Source organism: Homo sapiens, chromosome 4 (genome assembly GCF_000001405.40).
Source record: "Homo sapiens chromosome 4, GRCh38.p14 Primary Assembly".
Lineage (NCBI taxonomy): Eukaryota > Metazoa > Chordata > Mammalia > Primates > Hominidae > Homo > Homo sapiens.
In genome coordinates, this window is record NC_000004.12 from 84,895,022 (window position 1) to 84,917,816 (window position 22,795).

General features: G+C 37.0%; 1 protein-coding gene across 29 annotated transcripts in view; it reads right to left on the minus strand.

Annotated features, from left to right (window-relative positions):
• The window catches only part of WDFY3 (WD repeat and FYVE domain containing 3), a 297,094-nt gene that overhangs the window by 225,425 nt on the left and 48,874 nt on the right, over window positions 1-22,795 (minus strand). For 17 of the 29 annotated variants that reach the window (XM_011531759.3, XM_047449859.1, XM_047449857.1 and 14 more), the window contains one exon: window positions 1,890-1,989. The exons of 4 other annotated variants lie outside the window; for them this stretch is intronic. The gene's annotated coding sequence lies outside the window, so the exon portion shown is untranslated. Of the gene's footprint in view, window positions 1-1,889; window positions 1,990-3,430; window positions 3,580-6,226; window positions 6,359-17,230; window positions 17,299-22,795 lie in introns of all 29 variants that reach the window. 8 more of the 29 variants (XM_047449846.1, XM_047449847.1, XM_047449848.1 and 5 more) reach the window with 8 other exon arrangements.

A 22,795-nucleotide genomic window follows, 5' to 3' on the forward strand; every position in this document is an offset into this window, starting at 1 on the left:
ATAAGTAACTTATTAAACTCTCTCTTCAGAAATGTAAAACTCAGGTTAGCTTTTATTAAACTTTAAAAACACTGGCTTAGTGACCTCACATGGTTATAAAGCAAGAGTTCAAAAATTGTATATGTTAACATTTACTTTCTTATTCATTTAATAACACTTGTTACATGCAAGTACTCTGCTAGTAACTAGTGATGGAAAGATAAATCAATCACACTCTACCCTCTAGGGGCTCATGGTTAAGTGAAAAAACATAATAGAAGCAATGTGATAAGTATTATAATGAATAATAAAAAATAAAGTGCTATGGAGAACACAGGGAAAAGGCAGTTAACTATCAATAGAGAAAGTAACATCTGAACTAAGCCTTAGAAATTGAAGACAAGTTCATTCAGCTGACAATGGACTAGAACTTATTTCTAGCAAATAAACTGTGTACACAGACAAGAAAGCACAAGATACGCTGCTGGGTTGGCCAAGTAGTTCTGCATAGTTGGAACAAAGGGTGAATATGGAGAAAAGCTGGAGATGAGGCTTGCAGAGAAAAGCCAGTCACAGGAAGAGCCTAAAAGGCCTTACATGTTAGACTAACAATAAACTGTTAAGTAGGAGGGTTATATATGTAGAGAAAATATTTCTAAATATAGTGTGATATGTGGGATAGATGTATCTTAATGATGCTTTCAGCGATAAAGGCAGTGCCAGTAGAGGTAAGGGTGGGGCACAGTGGTATGAGAGATTACAAGTAATGCCACTGACAAAGGATTAACAATCTAGGAAGTAGATATCTTTCAGGATCAAAAGAAAAAGAGATCAAGAGGACTCAGAATTCCAGGTTGGGTGATACGAACAATGGTAGTGCCATTAATTAAGCTGGAAATAAATTGAAGGAATACAAATTAGTGCAAAAGATAAAAAGAGACAAATTGGAACATGGCGAAATAAAAGGATGAAAGAGGCTGGGCGCAGTGGCTCACACCTGTAATCCCAGCACTTTGGGAGGCCGAGGGGGACGGATCACGAGGTCAAGAGATGGAGACCATCCTGGCCAACATGGTGAAACCCCGTCTCTACTAAAAATACAAAAATTAGCTGGGTGTGGTGGTGGGTGCCTGTAATCCCAGCTACTCAGGAGGCTGAGGCAGGAGAATCGCTTGAACCGGGGAGGCAGAGGTTGCAGTGAGCCGAGATTGTGCCACTACACTCCAGCCTGGCAACAGAGCGACACTACATCTCAAAAAATAAAGTAAAATAAAAAATAAAAAGGTGAAAGAAAATGTAAAGCAAAAAAATCCCAGGACATGAGTTCAAGAGAGGAAAATCAGATGTATGCCCCTAAATAACACATCCAACACAAGAAATAGTATACCAAGTAACAAGCAGAGACCCTCAATTTCAAGGAATGTGAGGTTGTTTTCTATTTTTCCAAGTAGAAAAAACTATATAAGCATATTTATAAAACTAAAAAAGCATTTTTAGCCATTAAGAATTTTTTTTGAAATTTAATATATGCATGGGGTTTAAAAGACCATACTGAAAAGAATACACAGTAAAAGTAAATATCCCACTACAGGGCTCCAGTTTCCCTCCCTAGCACTGTCATCACTAATTTCTTGAATATCTTTTAAAATATGTTAAATATGTGTAAGCATATAGGTGTACATATAACATATATCCTCCTTTAAATAGCCTATTAGAAACAGTTCTCAAGATACATTTTCTATTTCCTAAATATGATAGTACAGTAATCAAATTTATAATGGTAGCTCTATAAATCAAGTCAATATAAAAAGTCCTGTCTACACATAATTAACAGTCTTTGTTTATCAATAAATCCAGTGATAGTAAAGATTAAAAACAAAAACCCACAATTTTTCTTCCCAGAGACTGACCTTTAGGGAATTCCTTGGGTAACAGGTTCTGAATGTGTGAGCACAATAGGGCCCATTCGCTTGAAGGTATTTTACTCAAAACTTGAAATCTGGGCTCCAGCTAGAAAGAGGGGGAAAAAGGTTATGAATTAATCTCTAATTCAGAATATTTTCCTCAACACAGGTAGCCCAGGTCCACTAACTATCTCATACATGAGGACTTTTCAACCTTGGTTGGATACTGGAATCAACTAAGAAGCTTTTTAAAAAATGCTCTGATGCCCGGAAGCCACACTCTGTTCAAATTAAGTCTCTGGGGCTAGAGCCTGGGCAGTGTTTTTATGGGTTTCCCAACTGATTCTAATGTGCATCCGGGGTTGAGAACCACTGCCACAGAAATATAAAATCATATGGTATGGAGGTCACCTATAAACTTTTCAGCTTGTTGCTAAATAACGTATGAGTATGGAAAATGCACTTTTTTTATTTTATTATTTTATTTTATTTTTTGAGACACAGTTTCACTCTTGTCACCCAGGCTGGAGTGCAATGGCCTGATCTTGGCTTACTGCAATCTCCACCTCCCAAATTCAAGTGATTTTCCTGCCTCAGCCTCCCGAGTAGCTGGGATTACAGGTGTACGCCACCATGCCTGGCTAATTTTTACATTTAGTAGAGACAGAGTTTCACTATGTTGGCCAGGCTGGTCTTGAACTCCTCCTGACCTCAGGTGATCTGCCCGCCTCGGTCTCCCAAAGGGGAAATGCACTTTTAAGATACTTGGGCAAAGGTGGCTCTAAATAACCAGAGTGTTCCTAACGCAGGACAAAGTGACGCTGGAGAGCCCACAACACAGGACTCAATAGGTATTCACCTCACATTTTCTGAACAAGCTTAAAATCCCAGGACAAACCTATTCTGGATATTTCATTATGAAAGAAACAGGATCAAATATTGAAAATCGCCTTTAAATCTTCCTGAATTACAAAGAAGTTACATATTTAGAGATAACAACTATTAAAATTTAACTGAAAAGCAAGATACAATTAACTACTGCTTGACTGCAAAAATCAAAAGTGAAATAAACAAATTAAATTCCTAACAATGACATTCACAAAACCTCTTTTATAGGGATTATAACCTATGGCATATGAAAGAGCCTAAGCTGGCAGCCACTACCTACATGTGGCTATTTAATCTTAAATACAAATTAATTTAAATATATGAAGTAAAAAATCTAGTTCCTCAGTTGCAGACACTTTTGAAGTGCTCAACAGCTATTATGTGTCTAGTGACTACTGTATTAGACAGAGCCAATATAAAACATTTTAATTGTCACAGAAAGTTACATTGGACAATGCTGGCTTGGGGGTAAATGAAGCCCCAAAACTTCATATTAAATTTGTAAACATACATATATTCTAGAGAGATGACCTATGACTTTTATTTGATTGTCAAAGGAGATCATGTTCAATTGCCACACCAGTGATTCAAGTGCCAGTGCCCAAGCCCGCAGAAAGTAGAAAAGAGTTTTTTTGTTTGTTTCGTCCCCAAATAGTTACCTCTTTTAAAAAAGCATATCATATCAACAGTAGCACTTCCCACTCACGGATACAGTCTTTCAACCATTGCATGAAGATGACTGGACTACTATTAGCACAAAATGGTCTTCCCACCTCCCTGATGTTGTTATGGTCCTGGGGCTTCACTGCTTTTTCAGAAGAGAAAAAGTAATAGTAAATCATAACCAGAAAAATAGACCTCCTTTGCTTTATTCATCATCTCCAACTTCATTAGCTATTGGTATATCCAAGATTATTTACCTGTCTTTTAACCCCAAATTCCAGCTTTTTGTGGCAAAGGGAATCACAACAAAATGGAAAGTGAATTCTGCATCCCTCAGAAAAAAACACAAACAACAACCTTCCATCTGTAGGATGCTGTTCCTAAGAAGAATTCCAAGGATACTTGGCTACTAACCTAAGATTTAACACCTAAGTTATCATCAAAAACTAACACAAAACAAAGATACGATCTCACAGGTGAGCTTCCCTTATGGATAAACAGTCTGGGTTTAGCTTCCATACTGAAAAGGTCTGGGTTTGGCATTGAAACAAAGTCTTCTAAAGAGACATCATGGTGTGATGAGTATAGAGTATATCCAGCTATACCCAATTTCTAGGATACGATCAACTGTCTAATTGATTTAAAAACTTAGCAACTCCATCTCTAATCCTTTGCTCCTAATACATACCTTTTTAAAAAGGCAACCTCCTTGAAATGTTTGACTGCATCTTAACTAATTCAAACAAAAATTACTTAAAAAATGAGTATGCCTTTTATCTGCAAAGAAAAAATATATCCAAGCCAAAAGACCACACAAGAATATGAAAAAAGTAAAAGGCAAAATAGACCCTCAGTGTAAGACAAGACCAAAGCCTGTCTTATAAATTAGGTGAGCTTGCTGCGTGAACTATAACGTCTGAGTTCAAAAACATCCCATGATTCAAATGTTATTAAACTAAGTGTATTTTAAGTCAATAAACTAAACGTTTGGCATTTTCTTATCAAATTAAACATTTATTTATTATGTACTCATGATAAATTGCAATCCCATTCCTAAGTATTTACCATAAAACAGGGGTTAGCAAATTACAGCCATGTACCAAAATCTAGCCCACACGTTTTTGTAAATAAAGTTTTATTGGAACACATCCACATTCATTTACTTACGTATTGTCTATGACTCCTTTCACACTACAACAGCAGAGTACCCACAACAGAGACCCTAAAGCATAAAATACTTCATCCAGTCCTCTACAGAAAAAGTTTTCTGACCCTGGCACTAAAGAAATAAAAACTGGGCCAAGTGTGGTGAGTCACACCTATAATCCCAACACTTTGAAAAGCTGAGGCGTGAGGATCACTTAAGGCCTGGAGTTCAAGACCAGCCTGGGCAACACAGTGAGATCCCATCTCCACAAAAAAAAATTAAAAATTAAAAACAAAAAATTAGCCAGATGTGGTGGCGTGCTTGTAGTCCTAGCTGCTCAAGAAGCTGAGACAGGAGGACTGCTTGAGCCCAGGAGGCAGAGGCTACATGCAATGTGACTGTGCCACTGTACTCTAGCCTGGGTGACAAAGCCAAGACCCTGTTTCAAAAAATAAAGAAGAAAGAAAAAGAAATGAAATGAAAACTTACATTCACACAAAACTTACACACAAAAGTTTATAGTACCTCTATTCATTATGGCCAAAGAATGGAAACAACCCAAATGTCCTTCAGCAAGTGAATAGACACACAAACTATGGTGCACCCATACAACTCAACAAAAGTAAAATAATTTTTTTTTTGAGTCAGGATCTTGCTCAATCTCCCAGGCTGGAGTTCAGTGGTACAATCATAGCTCACTGCACCCTCGAACTACTGGACTCAAGCAATCCTCTTGCCTTAGCCTCCCGAGTATCTGGGATTACAGACACAACACCACAACCAGCTAATTTTTAAATTTTTTTCATAAAGGTGGGGTCTCATTATGATGCCCAGGCTGGTCTCAAACTCCTGGCCTCAAGCGATCCTCCAAAAGTGCTGAGATTACAGTCATGAGCCACTGCATCCAGATTGTGAATGAATTATTGTTACATATAAAAACTTGGATTATTCTCAAAGGCATTATGCTGAGTCAAATGAACCAGTCTCAAAAGATTACAAATGTAATTCCATTTATATGGTGTTCTTGAAAAAAACTATTTTGATGAAGACAGATTGGTGGTTGCCAGGGGTTAGAGGTGAGAGAGACTGTGACTATAAAGGAACAGAACAAGGAAGTTTTTTGGGTGATAAAATTGTCCTGTATCCTCACTGTGGTAGCAGTTACACTTATCTGCACATGTATCAAAACCCATAAAGCTATATACCACAAAAAGGTGAATTTTACTTTGTAATAATCTAAAAAACAAAAACTTTTGAAAACAGCATGATAGTTTCTGTGTTTATTTGTGCTGTGATAACAGAATACATGAAACTGGGTAGTTTACAAATAATAGAAATGTATTTCCTCATGGATCTGTAGGCTGAGAAATCTAAGATCAAGGCAATGGCCGGTTCACTTGTCTGGTGAGGGCTGCTCTCTGCTTCCAAGATGATGCCTTGTTGCTGCATCCTCTGGAGGGGAGGAGCGTGTGTCCTCACATGGCAGAAGGCGAAAGGGCAAGAAACCTAATGCATAAAGGCTCGTTTAGAAGGGTCTTAATCCCATTGATAAGAAAGCAGCCTTCATGGTCTAATCATGTTCTAAAGGCTCTACCTCTTAATGCCATCTGCTATGGTTTGAAAATTTCTCCTCTCCAAAACTCACGTTGAAATTTAATGCTCCAATGTGGCAGTAATTAGAGGTGGGGCCTTTGACTGGTTCATGAGGAATCTGCTCTCACGAAGGGACTAATCCATTCATGGATTAAGGTCCTCGTGGGGATCAGCTGGTGGCTTTCTGAGACAAGAAAGAGAGACCTGAGTTAGCATGTGATGTCCCCTACCACCTCAGGACTCTGTAGAGAGTCCCTTCCAGCAAGCAGGCCCCCACCAGAGGGAGTTTCTTGATCTTGGACTTTTCAGTCTCCATAAGCATAAGAAATAAATTCCTTTTCTTTTCAAATTACCCAGTTTCAGGTATTCTGTTTTAAGCAACAGAAAACAGACTAAGACACCATCACAATGGCCATTACATTTCAACACCTGCATATTGGAGGGGACAATATTTAAATCATAGTAGATAGTTTAAAGAAAAACAATAAGATAACAAGGAAACAAGCTCTAAAAATTTAGAGCAAATAATATGAGATTTTTCCAGGGAAGATGAGATCCGAAAGTGTTGTCTGGGTTACTATACTCTTGGGTTTCAGTCCTGGCTTTATAATCCATTCACAACGGAACATTAAATCAATAACCCATCTCAGTATTTCCCTGTGATTTTTCTGCACGCAGTCTGGCAGGTTGATATCTGAGGGTGAATATAAAGTCCTGAATGCAATATTTCCCCTGTCAAATATGACATACTGCATGAAGAAATACTGCAATTCAAGTTATCTCAGAATACCTCCATTCTACTCTCCAGATTAGCCATAAATACAAAGGCATGGCTTATATCACAGTTGTCAGCCCTTTTCACACACTCAAGTTTTCTCACTCTGCTGCTCTCAAAGCTCTTTCCCACCTCCAAGTTCTTAGGAAAATCTGGCATTATATTCCATACACACACTGAAATACTGTGCCACATATGTTTTTGCACTATACATGGTCTGCAATTTTCTTTAGGGAAACCAGATTTGCAGACTGCCCATGAGAAATCTGTAAACTGTCACCTGGAATTAATCAAAAGGTAAATTTAGTAAATACAAAATCATTATCACAGAAAACAAGAGGTAGAATTCAGTGCTTTCACAGAATCAACAATAAAAACAATTTATAAATGGGTTATATATTTTGTAAATCCAATAAAATAGTTTTTTTAAAACCCAATATGAAAAACTGGCATACGATTAAAATCTCTGGACCAGACTAAAAACATTCAGACTAATTGCTTCCATTGTGCATAATTAACAGACCATGTCTCAAGTTAAACTCTAAAAGAGGAAGAACTCAGGAGTGACCACTAATCTTCTGTAAACCATTTTTACATGGTCATCAAAGAGAAGAAACTTTTTAGAAGGGCAAAATAGAATTTTCACCATGACAAAAAGTACATCCCAAAGTCCCTAGCATTTTGTGGTGATTTTAAATGTTAGCAAGTTCTTTGATATTCCTACTTTTAAAAGGAAAAGCCTTTTTCTCCATACCCTTTGAATGGGACTCACTTTCGACAAGTAAAATGTTGGGAGTGATACTATGTGACTTATAAGACTAGGTCATAAAAAGGATTCAAACTGTAGCTCTGCCATTAATACTAATTCCTCTTTCAGACTTATTGTCAGGATTGGAGATAGCATATGTAAAGTCTTTGACTTAGTGCCAGAATATTAGAAGCCTAACAAATAGCTTCTAACCAAGCACTTGTAGTCCTTAAAGTCTCCCTCAAGATGTGTATTATTAGGATTTAAGAATGAAAAGAGTAAATTATGTTGTTGAATGAAGGAAAGTCACAAAGTGCTAAAATCAAATCACGAAGAATATAAGGACTTTTAGAAAAAATTATTTCTATTAAGGTTGAGTCAAATGAAATTGCCATTTTTGTTAGGTCAGAAAAAAGAGAGTATCAGTAATTTTTACAGTTCAATCTAATACATGTGGAATAAATGTTTTCCCTTTGATATTATCAAACACATTATCACATATTTCAAATAAATGGAAAACCTCAGGGAATATATAATCTAAATGTAAAAATTTACAATATTTTCCATAGCAGAGCATATATGAAGGGAGTTTGTTTGCGTCAAACAAACAAAAAGGGAGTTTGTTGCTTCTCACTCTATGGCACAGGCTGGAATGCAGTAGCGCAATCTCAGCTCACTGTAACCTCTGCCTCCCAGGTTCAAGCAGTCCTTCCACTTCAGCCTCCTGTGTAGCTGCAAGTACAGGCCTGCACCACCATGCCTGGCTAATTTTTGTATTTTTGGTAGAGATCAGGTTTCTCCATGTAACCCAGGCTGGTCTCAAACTCCTGGTTTCAAGTAATCCGCCTGCCTCATCCTCCCAAAGTGCTGGGGTTACAGGTGTGAGCCACTGTGCCCAGTCCTATAATACTGTTTTAATTCATTCTCCTAGTCATTAGACTTCAAAAATATTTCAAACCAAACCTCACCTTAGAGTTTCATCATTTAAAAAATTAACCTTCTTTGAAGGTAGCCAAGTTATGACAAACTGAGAAAAGCTGGACAAAAACAATATCTGAAATATATGAACATTAAAGAATCGGTTTCAGATATTTAAGACACTACGCTATACACATGTATATTTATGTGATGTGTATCTCTATTTCTCTATCTCCCTATCTGTCTGTCTGTCTGTCTCTCTCCGTCCATCCATCCGCCCGCCTGCCTGCCCGCCTGCCTGCTATGGTCTGAATATTTGTGTTCCCCCACCTCAAATTCATGTTAAAATCCCATCTCTCCCAATATGATGGTACTAGGAGGTGGGGCCTTTGGAAGGTGTTTAGGTCATGAGGGTGGAACTCTCATAAACTGATTAGTGTCCTTATAAAAGCTCCTTTGCCTCTTCCACATGTGAGGACACAGCAAGAAGGTCCTGTCTGTGAACCAGGAAGTGGGCCCTCACCAGACACTGAATCTGCTGGTGCGTTGATCTTGAACTAGAACTGTGAGAAATAAATTTCTGTCATGCATTCATTCATTCATTCATTCATTCATTTATTTGAGACGGAGTTTCGCTCTTGTTGCCCAGGCTGGAGTGCAATGGCGCGATCTTAGCTCACTGCAACCTCCACCTCCTGGGTTCAAGGGATTCTCCTGCCTAGGCGAAACAGAGCAAGACTCCATCTAAAAAAAAGAAGAAGAAGAAAACTGAGACTCAGAGAGGTAAAATTCAAAGGTCACACAGCTTGGAAGGGCTCTGTTAGTCATTCATTCAACAAATGGTAGACATGGTAGAGATGTAATACTTTCTCATCTATTACAGTACCATTACTGCCAAAAATTTTTAAAAATAAATAAATAAGAAAGCACGTTTTAATATAAACTAATATAAACAAAGCAAACTTCTGTGCTGCAGTTTGTGCAGGTGTTCTTTCTGTGCTGTGGTTTGTCTTACAAAGCAAGCAAAATGTGGCCCATGCAAGCAAACTCTAAAAGGTAGAGTTTCTAGGGCTGTTCTCTCCCTAAAAAAGCTCTTATTCACTCTACAACTTTAAATACCATCTGTATATCTCCTCCTAACTCTCTGAGCTTCAAGATTGTTTAATTGATTGCCACTTGACGTCTCCATTTGGTCACTTACAGATGTCACAAAAGTAACAAGTTCAAAAATAAGGCTCACACCTGTAATCCCAGCACTTTGGGAGGCCAAGGCAGGCGGATCACTTGAGGTCAGGAGTTCGCACATTGGTGGTAGTGGTCCCTGGGGCCCAGCTGTCTTTTCTTTTATCTCTTTGTCTTGTGTCTTTATTTCTACAGTCTCTCGTCTGCGCACACGGGGAAAGACCCACCGACCCTGTGGGGCTGGTCCCTACACACACCTGTAATCTCAGCACTTTGGGAGGCCAAGGCAGGCGGATCACTTGAGGTCAGGAGTTCGAGACCAGCCTGGTCAACACGGTGAAACCTTGTTTCTACTAAAAATACAAAAATTAGCTGGCCATCATGGCGTGTGCCTGTAATCCCAGCTACCTGGGAGGCCGAGGCAAGAGAATAGCTTGAACTCGGGAGGTGGAGGTTGCAGTGAGCCAAGATCATGCCACTGCACTCCAGCCTGGGCGACAGAGTGAGACTCTATCTCAATTAAAAATAAATAAATAAATAAATTCTTGACTTCCCTTTTCACTGACCTCCAGTCTCATTTAAGAATACTGTCATCCAACCAACTGCTCAAGCCAAAACCTGAGTATTTTCCTTGCTTTCCTCCTCCCCCACACTCTTCATGTTAAGTCCCATTGGTTCCACCTACAGACTAGATCTCATCTATCCTTTTCTCTCCCAACACTTTAGATCCGAGCTGCGATTATCTTTCACCTGAACTACTATAATGGTCTTATTATTTTCCTGCTTTCTCTCCTTTGCAGACAAAGTGCTTTGGGGGCTAGAGGACAGGTAACAGAAACTATAGTATGTAACTTTAAAACCCTTCGGTGGCTTTCAGTGTGTTTAATAAAAGCCATACTCCTTACCATGGCCCTTTAAAATTCTAGATATCTGATCCCTTTCTACCTTTCAAACTTCATTCCACTCTCCCCCAGACATCTCCAGGCATGCTTTCAATTCCTCATACACCAACTGTTCACACTGCAGGGTCTTCCCTTCTTCCTGTAAATTCCTGGCAGGGATAACTCCTTCAATTTTCAGCTTCAAGGTCACCTCTCTTGACAAGCCTTTTCTGGCAATGTAGAAGTACCTCTGCCTTCCCATGACCCTCTATCACCTCATCTGCATTTCTTCCATGGTCTGCGCTTAACATCATTGGAAAATATCTACTTATACATTTACCATCTAGTTGTCTACCAGATTATGAACTCCAAGTAGACAGAATATGTCTGTTTTGTTTACTTATATTCACCACCTAGTAAAATGCCTGTCATGTAAATTTTTCTTGAATGAGCAAGTTAGGAATATTAGACTAAAAGGACTTTAATTTCTATACAATTTAAAGTGTTTTAAGCTACAAATTTAAAAGATAATTTATGATCTTCTCTCATGAAGTATACAAATATAACTCAGAGACAGACGTGTTTCATTTCTTAAAGACCTATGACAAACCTCAAAGCAGTGAAGTTTGTGTCAGATTCATTTTATAGGCAATATAGAACCTAAGACATGACTTTCTTATTTTCAGAATCTAGGTGAAAAACTGCAGTAAAATTATGAAGAGGTACCAACTAGCTCAAGTAAATAATTATGTTTATATGCAAAATGACTATAGCCTCAAAAATATGTGTAATATTTTAATAAAAGCATATTCTTAAAAAAATTTAACCACAGTCATCCCTTGGTATCCACAGGAAATTGGCTCCAGGACCCCCACGTATACCAAAATCCTGCCATGCTCAAGTCCCTTATATAAAATGATACAGTAATTACATATAACCTATGCACATTTTCCTGTATACTTTAAATCATGCTTGTACAACCTATGGCTCATGGGCTGCATATGGCCCAGGAAAGCTTTGAATATGGCCCAAATTTGTAAACTTTCTTAAAACATTATGAGATATTTTGTGATTTTTTTTTTTTTTTTTAGCTCATCAGCCATCGTTAGTGCTGGTATATTTTATATGTGGCCCAAGACAATTCTTCTTCTCCCAGTGTGGCCCAGGGAAGCCCAAAGATTGGACACACCTGCAAATCATTTCTAGATTACTTATAATACCTAACACAATGTAAATCCTATGTAAATTTTTGTTATACTGTATTTTCAAATATAAAATTCTTTATTATTATTTTTTGCAACATCTTTTCCCAAATATTTTCTGTCCATGGTTGGTTGCATCCATGGATGTGGAACCTGTAGATATGGAGGGCTGAATTTATTTCCATTTGGACAAAAGTATTTTGCAGAGAGAGAAAATAACCTATTTTGGTCAGGTCCAAGGGAGAATAATAAATTACTGTCCCATTCTGTGTTGGTTATAAATATATCCACGAATTTTATGATGCTCCTCTTTTCAAAGGTAGAGTCTAATTAATCCCCTCTTAATTATGGGTTACACTTAGCAACACGTTTCTAAGGAACAGAATATGGAGGAAGTGACTATGTGTGACCAGATTATAAAAGACATTATGACTTCCTTCTTGCTCTCTCTCAGATTACTTGCCCTGAAGGAAGCCAACTTCCACATTGTGAAAACACTCCAGCAACCCTATGGAGGGGTCCACATGAGTAGAAACCAAAGGTTTCTGCTGACAGCTAGTAAGAAATTGAGGTCTTCTGTCAACAGCCATGTACGTGAGCCATCCTGGAAAGTGATCCTCTAGTCCCAGTCAAGCCTTTAGATAGCTACTGCCAACATCCTGACTACAACCTTATGAGAAATCCTAAGCCAGGGCCACCTAGTTAAACCACTCCTAAATACCTGGCCCACAGACACTGTGAGATAATAAATGCTTGGCTTTTCTTAAGCGACTTAACTTGAATCAGCAATAAGTAATCTATATTCGTTCAAGCAATAATCATTGATCTGTGCCTACTATGGCCCAGTCACTGTACCAGGCCCTACAGACACAGGGAAAAAATAAGACTCACTGTCTTACAGGGATAGACGGGATATACAAGAGGATAGAGGATAGTATAGCAACACAGCATTAAGTGCTCTAAACGGATAAATAGAAGGCCCTACCTCAACACCCAGAACACAATATCAAGTTTCAAAAGAAGGAAGAGGAAGAGGAGGAGGAGGAGAAGCTGTTTAAGGGGGAAAGAGTGGGTGTAGGTATGCATATCTACATGTAAGGTGCAAGGAAAGTGCAGAGGATGACAAATGAAGGGACTGGAGATATATATAAGTACCAGTTGGATAATGAAAGGATGCCATACTCTGAGCTTTAACTAAAGGCAATAAGGAGACACTGAGAATTTCAATAAAGTAGGGTAAGATTCACATTCTACAAAGAAGACTCTTGCTGCAGTATGGAAAACGGCTCCAAAGGGCCTCCTCTAATACAGACAGTTAAAAGGAAACTGCAGCTATCCAGTTTAGGTAGAATGATGGCCTGAAATATCTTAGCAACAAGAAGTAAAAAAGCAGTAGACAGATTCAACAGACATTTAGAAGGTAGAAAGATAGAACTTTATGATTGATTTTAAAATTAAATGCCATCAATATCTCCAGAACACTAAAAAAGGAAAATCACCATAATATGCAAATATTCAGAACAAATAAAAGAACAATCTTTATTGGTATACATGGCAAACCCTCTAAACTCAAAAGAATCCCCAACACATTCTGAAAGTGGAAATGAATTTTAAATCAGTTGTCCAAAAAGACAGAACTATAAATTCAATATGAGGAAGGCATAAATGGCTTCGCATAATTCTAATGTACCTCATCAGAAACCTCAATAGTCATTTACAACTGACAAGCCCAACTCTTTGTATATTTCAACTTTTTTTATTGCTAGTATGAAGTATAGCTCTTTTTCTTTCCCTTTTAGAATAAAGGGATCAAGGAGATACTGTATTACCTCTCCTTGAATATCTAAGTCAGATATGCCAGAATACAACACATTGTCCTTATCTAGCTCAAGAGTTCTTAGTGTTCTAAGGTTGAAACTCTTCAGGACTTCAGTGAGCATAAATTATCAACATAAGAACTCTTTCTAAGCTATAATGTAAGCTCTTTGAGGGCAGAAATCATGTCTTAAACATCTATTCCTAGCACTAAGCCCACTGCATCTAAAGCAAGGAAAAATTCAAAAGATGTTTATTGAATGGATTCATATTAAACTAAATACTAGGAGTCTATTCCTACGCACGTATCCATACACACACACACACACACGCACACACACACAAAAATATTTACTGACGGAATTTGTTTCATAATACAGGGATAGAGTAAATGCATGGGAATGTAATAAAACAAGATGGGCCAATATATAACTTTTTAGAACTGTGAGATTTATCAGAGAAAACTGAAAGTAAACAAGGGAGTTACAGGGAGGGCATCTATTTTATGTATTTGGTTCATGGGGTAAAATAAACTAAAATACATTTTAAAAGGTTAAAATTATGCTTTCTTGACAGATTTTTGCCTTTAATTTATAACCCAGTGTTCTTGTTACAAAATATTTATACTTCATAATTCTAAATACCAAATAACTTATTTTAGAACTATGGTTAAAGTATTGTAATAAAAAAAGAAAGGGCACAAATGTACTACAGAAAAATAAAAAAAAATTCATATAATAACAAAGTAAGAGAAAATGACATCTAATGTTCTCCTAATTTTCTGTTTGCTGTTGCAGTCTGAAGGAACACAAGATTAATTAGATACTTGTAACATAAAAATAACCTAAATACAGTCATTCATATTTGGCTTAGGAGTCTCACTGCCAGCTCTTTAGTAAAAATTATTCCTTATAAAATACTAATATTGTCTTTTATGAAATCTCAAGATTTTCAGTAAGTAGATAGCTTCTGGAACTAAAATAAAAGTAGCATTTAACATAAAATTGAACAATTTACTAGATTACGTGACTTATTGGTCTTTTCATTATTGCATTTTTTCTGCAAGCAAGACAAATATTTTCTTTTTTGTCTTCATGCTTTTGTCTCTAATCCTCAAATTTCCAAAGAAAGTTACAATATGAATTAAATAACCAACAACTTGCTTGCTTTAACATTTTTTCCTAGTATAACTCCATAAGTATTCATAATAAATTTAATATTTGCCATTCTTTTTGGAATACTGTCAACGAAATGAAACTATTAAAAGCAAAATTCAAAGATACACAGTCAGCCCTCTGCATCTGTGGGTTCCACACTGTGGATTCAGCCAACTGCAGATCAAAAATATTCAGAAAAAACAAATTCCATCTGTACTAAACATGTACATATTTTTTCTTGTCATTATTCCTAAACAATACAGAATAACAACTATTTATATAACATTGACATTGTATTCGGTATTATAAGTAATCTAAAGACGATTTACAGTATACAGGAGGATACGCACAGGTTATGTGCAAAAACTATGCCATTTCCTATCACGGACTTGAGCACCTACAGATTTTGGTGCTTGAGGAAGGTCCTGAAATCAGTCCCCCACAGATACAAGGGATGATTGTATATTAGAAACATTTTTAAAGGCACACATTAATGGTAATAAAATATCCAATTAAAAATAAAACATTTAATATAATAAATCAAATATATAATATAATGTAATCAAAACAGTATGGTACTAGCATAAGGATGGTAATATGGACCAACAGAATGGAACAGAGCCCAGGAAAAAACTCTCACATATATGGCCAACTGATTTTCAACAAGAGAGCCAAGACTATTCAATGGAGGAGAAGGCAGTCTCGTCAACAAAACCAGTGCTGGGAAAATTGAATCTACCTTAAAAATTAACATAAAATGGGTCATAGACCTAAATTTAAGAGCTGAAACTATAAAGTTCTTACCAAAAAAAATGGGCAACTCCTCAATGTTTTTTGTTGGTTTGTTTTTGTGATGGAGTCTCACTCTGTCGCCCAGGCTGGAGTGCAGTGGTGCGATCTTGGCTCATTGCAATCCCTGGCTTCCAGGTTAAAGCGATTCTCCTGCCTCAGCCTCCCAAGTAGCTGGGATTACAGGTGTGTGCCACCATGTCTGGCTAATTTTTTTCTGTATTTTTTTTTTTTTTTAGTAGAGACAGGGTTTCACCACGTTGGCCAGACTGGTCTCAAACTCCTGACCTCAGGTGATCCACCTGCCTCGGCCTCCCAAAGTGCTGGGATTAGAGGCATGAGCCACCATGCCTAGCCCAATGGTTTCTTAAATATGACACCAAAACCACAGGAACAAAATAGATAAACTGGACTTCATAAAAATTAAAGACTTTAGTACACCAAAGGACACTATCAACAGAGTAAAGCTCCCAGAATGAAAGAAAATATTTGTGAAATCATACATCTGATAAGGGTTATCCAGAACACATAAAGAACCCCTATAACTCAACAACAAAGAGATAAACAACCCAATTTAAAAATGAGCAAAGGAGGTGGGAGGATCACTTGAAGCCAGGAGTTTGAGACCACCCTGGAAAACATAGTGAGACCCCTGCCTCTACAAAAAATTAAAATATTAGCTGAGCATGTGGCATACGACTGTAGTCCTAGCTACTCAGGAGGCTGAGGCAACAGGATTCCTTGAGCCCAGGAATTGAGGGTTAAAGTGAGGTATAATCGCACCACTACACTCCAGACTGGGTGACAGAGTGAGACCCTGTCTCTTAAAAAAGAAAAAAGGGCAAAGGAGCAAATTACATGAACACACATTTCACTGAAGAAGATATATACACTTGACCCTTAACCAACACAGGTTTAAACTATTTGGGTCCAGTTATATGTGAATTTTCTCAATAAATATATTTGAAATTTTTTGGAGATTTGTGACAATTTGAAAAATCTTACAGACAAACTTCATAGCCTAGGAATATTGAAAAAATTAAGAAAAAAGTAAGTAGGTCATGAATGCATAAAATATATGTAGATACCAGTCTATTTTTATCATTTTTTACCATAAAAATATATACAAATCTATTATAAAAAGTTAAAATGTATCAAGACTTACACATGCACAGACTGTAGTACATGGTGCCATTCATAATCAAGAGAAATGTAAACAGTGAAGATGCAGTATTAAATCATTAACTGCATAAAATTAACTGTAGTACAGGCTCTACTACCAAAATAACTTCGTAGCCATCTCTTGTCGCTATAGTGGTAAGCTCAAATGTTGCGAGTATTCATTAAAACACTGTGCGATGCTAATTATCTCTGCCAGAGCAGTTTGTCTCTCCAGTAAGTTGTATATGGCAACAAAATGTGTCTCAAGGTTCATGCATATATTTTTCATCATGTTTAGCTCAATATCATAAACCTTGACTAACACCGTGGAACTCATACGAAGTGCCACTAGTGATGCTGGCTGTGTTCCCAAGAAGCAGAGAAAAGTCATGACATAACAAGGAAAAGTTGAATTGCTTGATACGTACCTTAGATTGAGGTCTGCAGGTACAGCTGCCGACTATTTCAAGAAAAACAAATCTAGCATTAAGGACCACTGTAAAAACAGAGAGGGAAACTGGTGAAGCCATCACTGCAGCTCTGCCAGAAGGCACAAAACCCTGCACTGTTTGCAAAATACTTTTTTATCTCATAATGAAAATCCAGCTTTATTGTGGGCACAGGGTTGCTATAAGAAAGGCATATCCATGGACTCTAATATGATTTGAGAAAAAGCTAAGTCATTATATGACAATTTAAAGCAAAAATAACATGAAGGATCTAAAGCTGCAGAATTTAATGCCAGCAAAGGATGGCTTGGTAATTTTAGAAAGAGGTATGGCATAAAAATGTCAAGAGAACAGGAGACGCAGCTTCTGCCAACCAAGAGGCAACAGACAAGTTCCCAGACATTAAAAAAAATCACTGAGGATAAAGTACATCTGCCCAGGTTTTTATTGTAGATGAAAGTACCCTATTCTAAAAAAAAAGAAAAAACAAAGCTTACCAAGGACATTTATTACTATAGAAAAGAAGTGAGCACCAGGATTTAAGGGTATAAAGGGATAGACTAACTCCTGTTTTGAGCAAATGCAGTTGGGTTTATAATCATAAGTGTCCTCATCGACAAAGCTGCTAAACCCTGAGTCTTGAAGGGAAAAGGTAAACACCAAATGCCAGTATTTTGGTTGTACCACAAGTAGGGCTGGAAATGAGAGTGCTTTCTGGATTGCTTCCACTGATACTTTGTCGCTGAAGTTAGAAAGTACCTTGCCAGTAAGAGACTGCCTTTTTAAATTTGTTTGGTATTGGACAATGCCCTTGGCCACCCAGAACCTCATGAGTTCAACACCTATGCATTGAAGGGTCTACTTGAACCCAAACACAACATCTCTAACTCAGCCTCTAAATAAGGGCATTATAAAGACCTTTAAGGCTCACTACTCTATGGAAAGGATTGCCAACCTATTGAAGAGAACCCTGACAGAGACAACATCATGAAAGTCTAGAAAAATGACACCATAGAAGATGCCATCATTGTTACAGAAGAAGCCATAAAAGCCATCAAGCTCAAAACAACAAGTTCCTGTTGGAGAAAAATGTTCCCAGATGTTGTGCACGATTTCGTAAGATGTATGATAGAGCTGATCAGGAAACTGTGAGAGACTGCAGATACAGCAAAAAAGGTGAGGGGTGAAGGGTTTCAAAATATGGATCTTGGAGAAACTCAAACGCTAGTACACACCACATCAGAGGAATTAACAGAAGACAACTTGATGAAGATGAGTGCTTCTGAACTAGTACCAGACAATGAGGAAGAAGATGTAGAATAAGCAGTGCCAGAAAAAAAATCGACATTAGACAATCTGAAGAAGGGTTCCGATTATCCAAGACTTCTTTTATGACATGGACTCTTCTATGATACAGGCACTGAAACTAAACCAAATGGTGGAAGAAGGATTGGAAAAGAAATATTTTTAGAGAAATAAAGCAAAAAAAAAAAAGGAAGAAAAATTATAATGTATTTCTGTAACATGACACCAAGTGTGCCTGCCTCTCCTGCCTCCCTGGCCTCCCCTTCCCTTCCCTTCCACCTCCTCCACCTCTTCTGCTTCTGCCACTCCTAAGACTGCCAAGACCAACCCCTTCTCTTCCTCCTCAGCCTACTCAATGTGAAGATGATGAGGATGAAGACCTTTATGATGATCCACTTTCACTTAATGAATGGTAAATACATTTTCTCTTCCTGATGATTTTCTTAGTAACATTTTCTTTTCTCCAGCTTGCTTTAAGAATACATATATTATGTGTAACATACAAAATACGTGTTAATCAACTGTTCATGTTGGTGGTAAGCCTTCAACAGTAGGTTATTAGGGCCGGGTGTGGTGGTTCACACCTGTAATCCCAGCACTTTGGGAGGCCGAGGCGGGCGGATCACAAGGTGAGGAGATCAAGACCAGCCTGGCCAACATAGTAAAACCCCGTCTCTACTAAAAATACAAAAAATTAGCTGGGCGTGGTGGCAGGTGCCTATAATCCCAGCTACTCAAGAAGCTGAGGCAGGAGAATCGCTTGAACTTGGAGGTTGCAGTGGTCCGAGATAGCGCCATTGCACTTCAGCCCGGGCAACAGTGTGAGACTCCGTCTCAAAAACAAAACAAGACAAAACAAAACAAAACAAAAAAAAATAGGTTATTAGTAGTTACATTTTGGGAGAGTCAAAAGTTATACATAAATTTTCGACTGGAGGGGCACTGGCATCCCTAAGCCCTGAGTTGCTCAAGGGTCAACTGTATCTTGTCAGTAAGCATGTGTAAAAATGCTCAATATAATTTAGTCATTAGGAAAATGCACATCAAAACCACAATGAGACACCATTTAACACCTATTATGATGGCTACTTTCCAAAAAAATGGAAAATAACAAGTGCTAGTAAGTATGTAGAGAAATTGGAACCCTCATGTATTGCTAGAAAAATGCAAAATGGTGCAGCCACTGTGGAAAGCAAGTTTAGTGGTTCCTCAAAAAGTTAAACAAAGAGTTACCATACAACCCAGCAATTCTGTTTTCAAAAGAGTTGAAAACAGTGACTCAAACAGAATTTTGTATGCCAATGTTCTTATCAGCAATTTTCACAATAGTGAAAGGTGTTAATGACTCAGGTGTGTGTAAACAGATGAAAAAATAAATAGAATGTGGTATACACATACAATAGATTATTCTTCCATAATAGAAATGAAATTCTGATACACGCAACAACATACATGAACCTTGAAAAGATTATACTAAGTGAAAAAAGCCAGACTCAAAATGACCAATATTGTATGATCATACTTAATATAAAATATCTAGAACAGGCAAATTCATAGAGACAGAAAACAGAATAGAGGTGGCTAGGAGCCAGGAGAGAGAAGAATGGGAATTATTACCTAATGGGTACAGAGCTTCTGTTTCAGATGATGAAAAACTTCCGGAAATAGATAGTGGTGATGGTTACCCAACATCCTGAACATATATAATGCTGCTGAATTGTACACTTAAATATTGTTAAAATGGTCATTTTTAGGTAGTGTATATTCCACAATTTTAAAAAGGCATTTAAGATTGAATATTATTCCTGAAACAGAATTTAATTTGATCTAAAGTCTATCACCACAAAATTTTCAGGCAAACATAAACTAATATAGTACTAGCTTCAAAGTATATATTCAGCATTAAAATAAGGCATCCAATTCTCTGGCCACACTAAAGAAGCCTATAAATGAACCCCAAAGGATTTGTTTTTATAGCAAGAACTTGGTATTCAAGCCAAGTTAAACTCACAAACACTCCACAGCAATAAAAGCCAAGTTCATTGCAGACTTGAGATCTTTAGTTGTCTATTTTTACTGTTTCTATTTCCACATCTAGAATTCTCTCTTTAAGCCAGCTTAAAAATGGGGCTCTCAAGAGAAAAATATGTGCACTCAAATTTTTAATAATCAAAACTGTAGAACCTCAGAGTAGTAGAAGCTTTAAGTGTACAGACCTCAATTAACAGGAACTGGGGAAAAAAGGTTTTAATTATACACACATACCTCTGGCTCACCCCCACAATGTGTTGCATGCTTTTGGCAAGTGCCACAAAACCAATTACTTACCATGTTGTTTTCTAATCAGGAATGCTATGATTTTCCACAAACTAATGAAGAACCTGTTTCATAATAAACTTAGTCCTGAAATTATATTTTATGTTTCTAATCCACCGAAGTAGAACCTTGTCATATATTTAGGGGTAAGTATTAATCATAAAAATATCATGTTTTATCACACTGGATAGGTACAAGACAACTATCTTTTTTGTGGACAAGCTGTAATTTCAGAAAACGGATGAACGACATTATAAACTAAAAACAGAACGACACAAAAATAACAGGTCAAGAAATGCAAAACACAGGCAAAAGGTAAGTTCATCAGTTCATCTAGTAAGTTCACAAGAGATGGGCAGAGAAAAAATAATGAATACAGTTCTATGCAGCAACATCCTCCCATCATTATACTAGTCCTCTCTATCCTCTTCTTGCCATTCAGCACTCTGTCATGCCATGATCACTACCACTGCTATTCTCAATGAGAAAAAGAAACCAAATGTGGACTTTACTTATGCAAATGATTTACAATCATTAGATGAAGAATTCACTGATTTTCCTTCCTGCCTCTGTTACAAGTATTTCCTGAAGAATACTGCCATTCTCGCATATGATTACCAGCAGCAAGTGACTGATCAGTTTGTACTCAGGCAGGAGGGAAAGGCTATTCTGACACTCTAATGCAGCACTTCAACTGGATGTCAATGTATCAAGAATGTTGTTCCAAATAGAATACAAGAACTTAAAATTAAATGAAGAAATCCCAGAGCTCCACTGATCTCTAGTCATTCTGCCAAATTAATCATGGACTCTTGATAAATTGAAAATGAATATACTGAATTAATAAAACAATTTCTATGGAAGTTATCAAATGAAAGTAATATAATTTCAGTTCAAAATAATTGTAGTACAGACAAAATTCCATTAAGCAAATTAGAATTTTTGAGTATTTTCTATGTTACATTTAGACTCTGGCTGGCAAACATCTATAAGCTCTTTTTAGACTCAATGATAAAAGATGTTTGCTGGCTCTCCTCTAATAACATTAAACCATGAAAAAGAGATGAATAGATATATATTTTATATATCACACAAAAACATATACATGAAACGAAGTATATATCTATGAACAGATACATATTTTATATATCACACACACGAAAAATAGATGAATAGATATCTTTTTCGTGTGTGTGTGCGTTTAAGTGGAAAGATATAACTTTTAAAGCATCAATCGGCGCCAAGCCCTCTGAATTATTTCACTCCTTTGTGGTAATATTACTAGTTTCTGACCTATTATCTTTTTTCTATAAACTTCAGTTTCATGGAAATGGTGAAGTTACAGAAGCCTAAAAGAGGTCAGGTCTGGTGCCAAGACCATTGAAAAGAAGCCAAGAGAGCCTCGGAGGCCAGTTGGCCAAAGCCTACTAGGCTGGTCCAAACCTTCCTCTTTACAAGGATAATTCACAATAACTGAAAACGTATAATCTAAGTCATTTAGTAGGGAAGTTTTAAAAGAAATGATAATTACAAAAGCTAGGTGATAGATACATAAGCATATTTTATGGATATCTGAAATTTTCTATTAAAAAAGTTAAAAGTAAAATAAATTAACTTACATATTCTATACATAATAGCAGATTTTTTTCTCATTCAGGCTTTACAATGTAAGACTGCAGGACAAGGATAAATAGAGCATCTGGTAGAGATAACCATCTCATTCCTTTTCTATTAAACACAGCAAATTCATTTCAAACTCTTTATGTTTTTTACAACTATGACTCAAAATGCGAGGGCAATAATAAAAATCATTAGCAAATTTGAATATATATATATATAAATTGGGAATGGTAAAAACCACCAAAAGCAAAGTCAAAAGACAAATGAGACAACTGGGAGAAAATACTTGCAATATACATTACA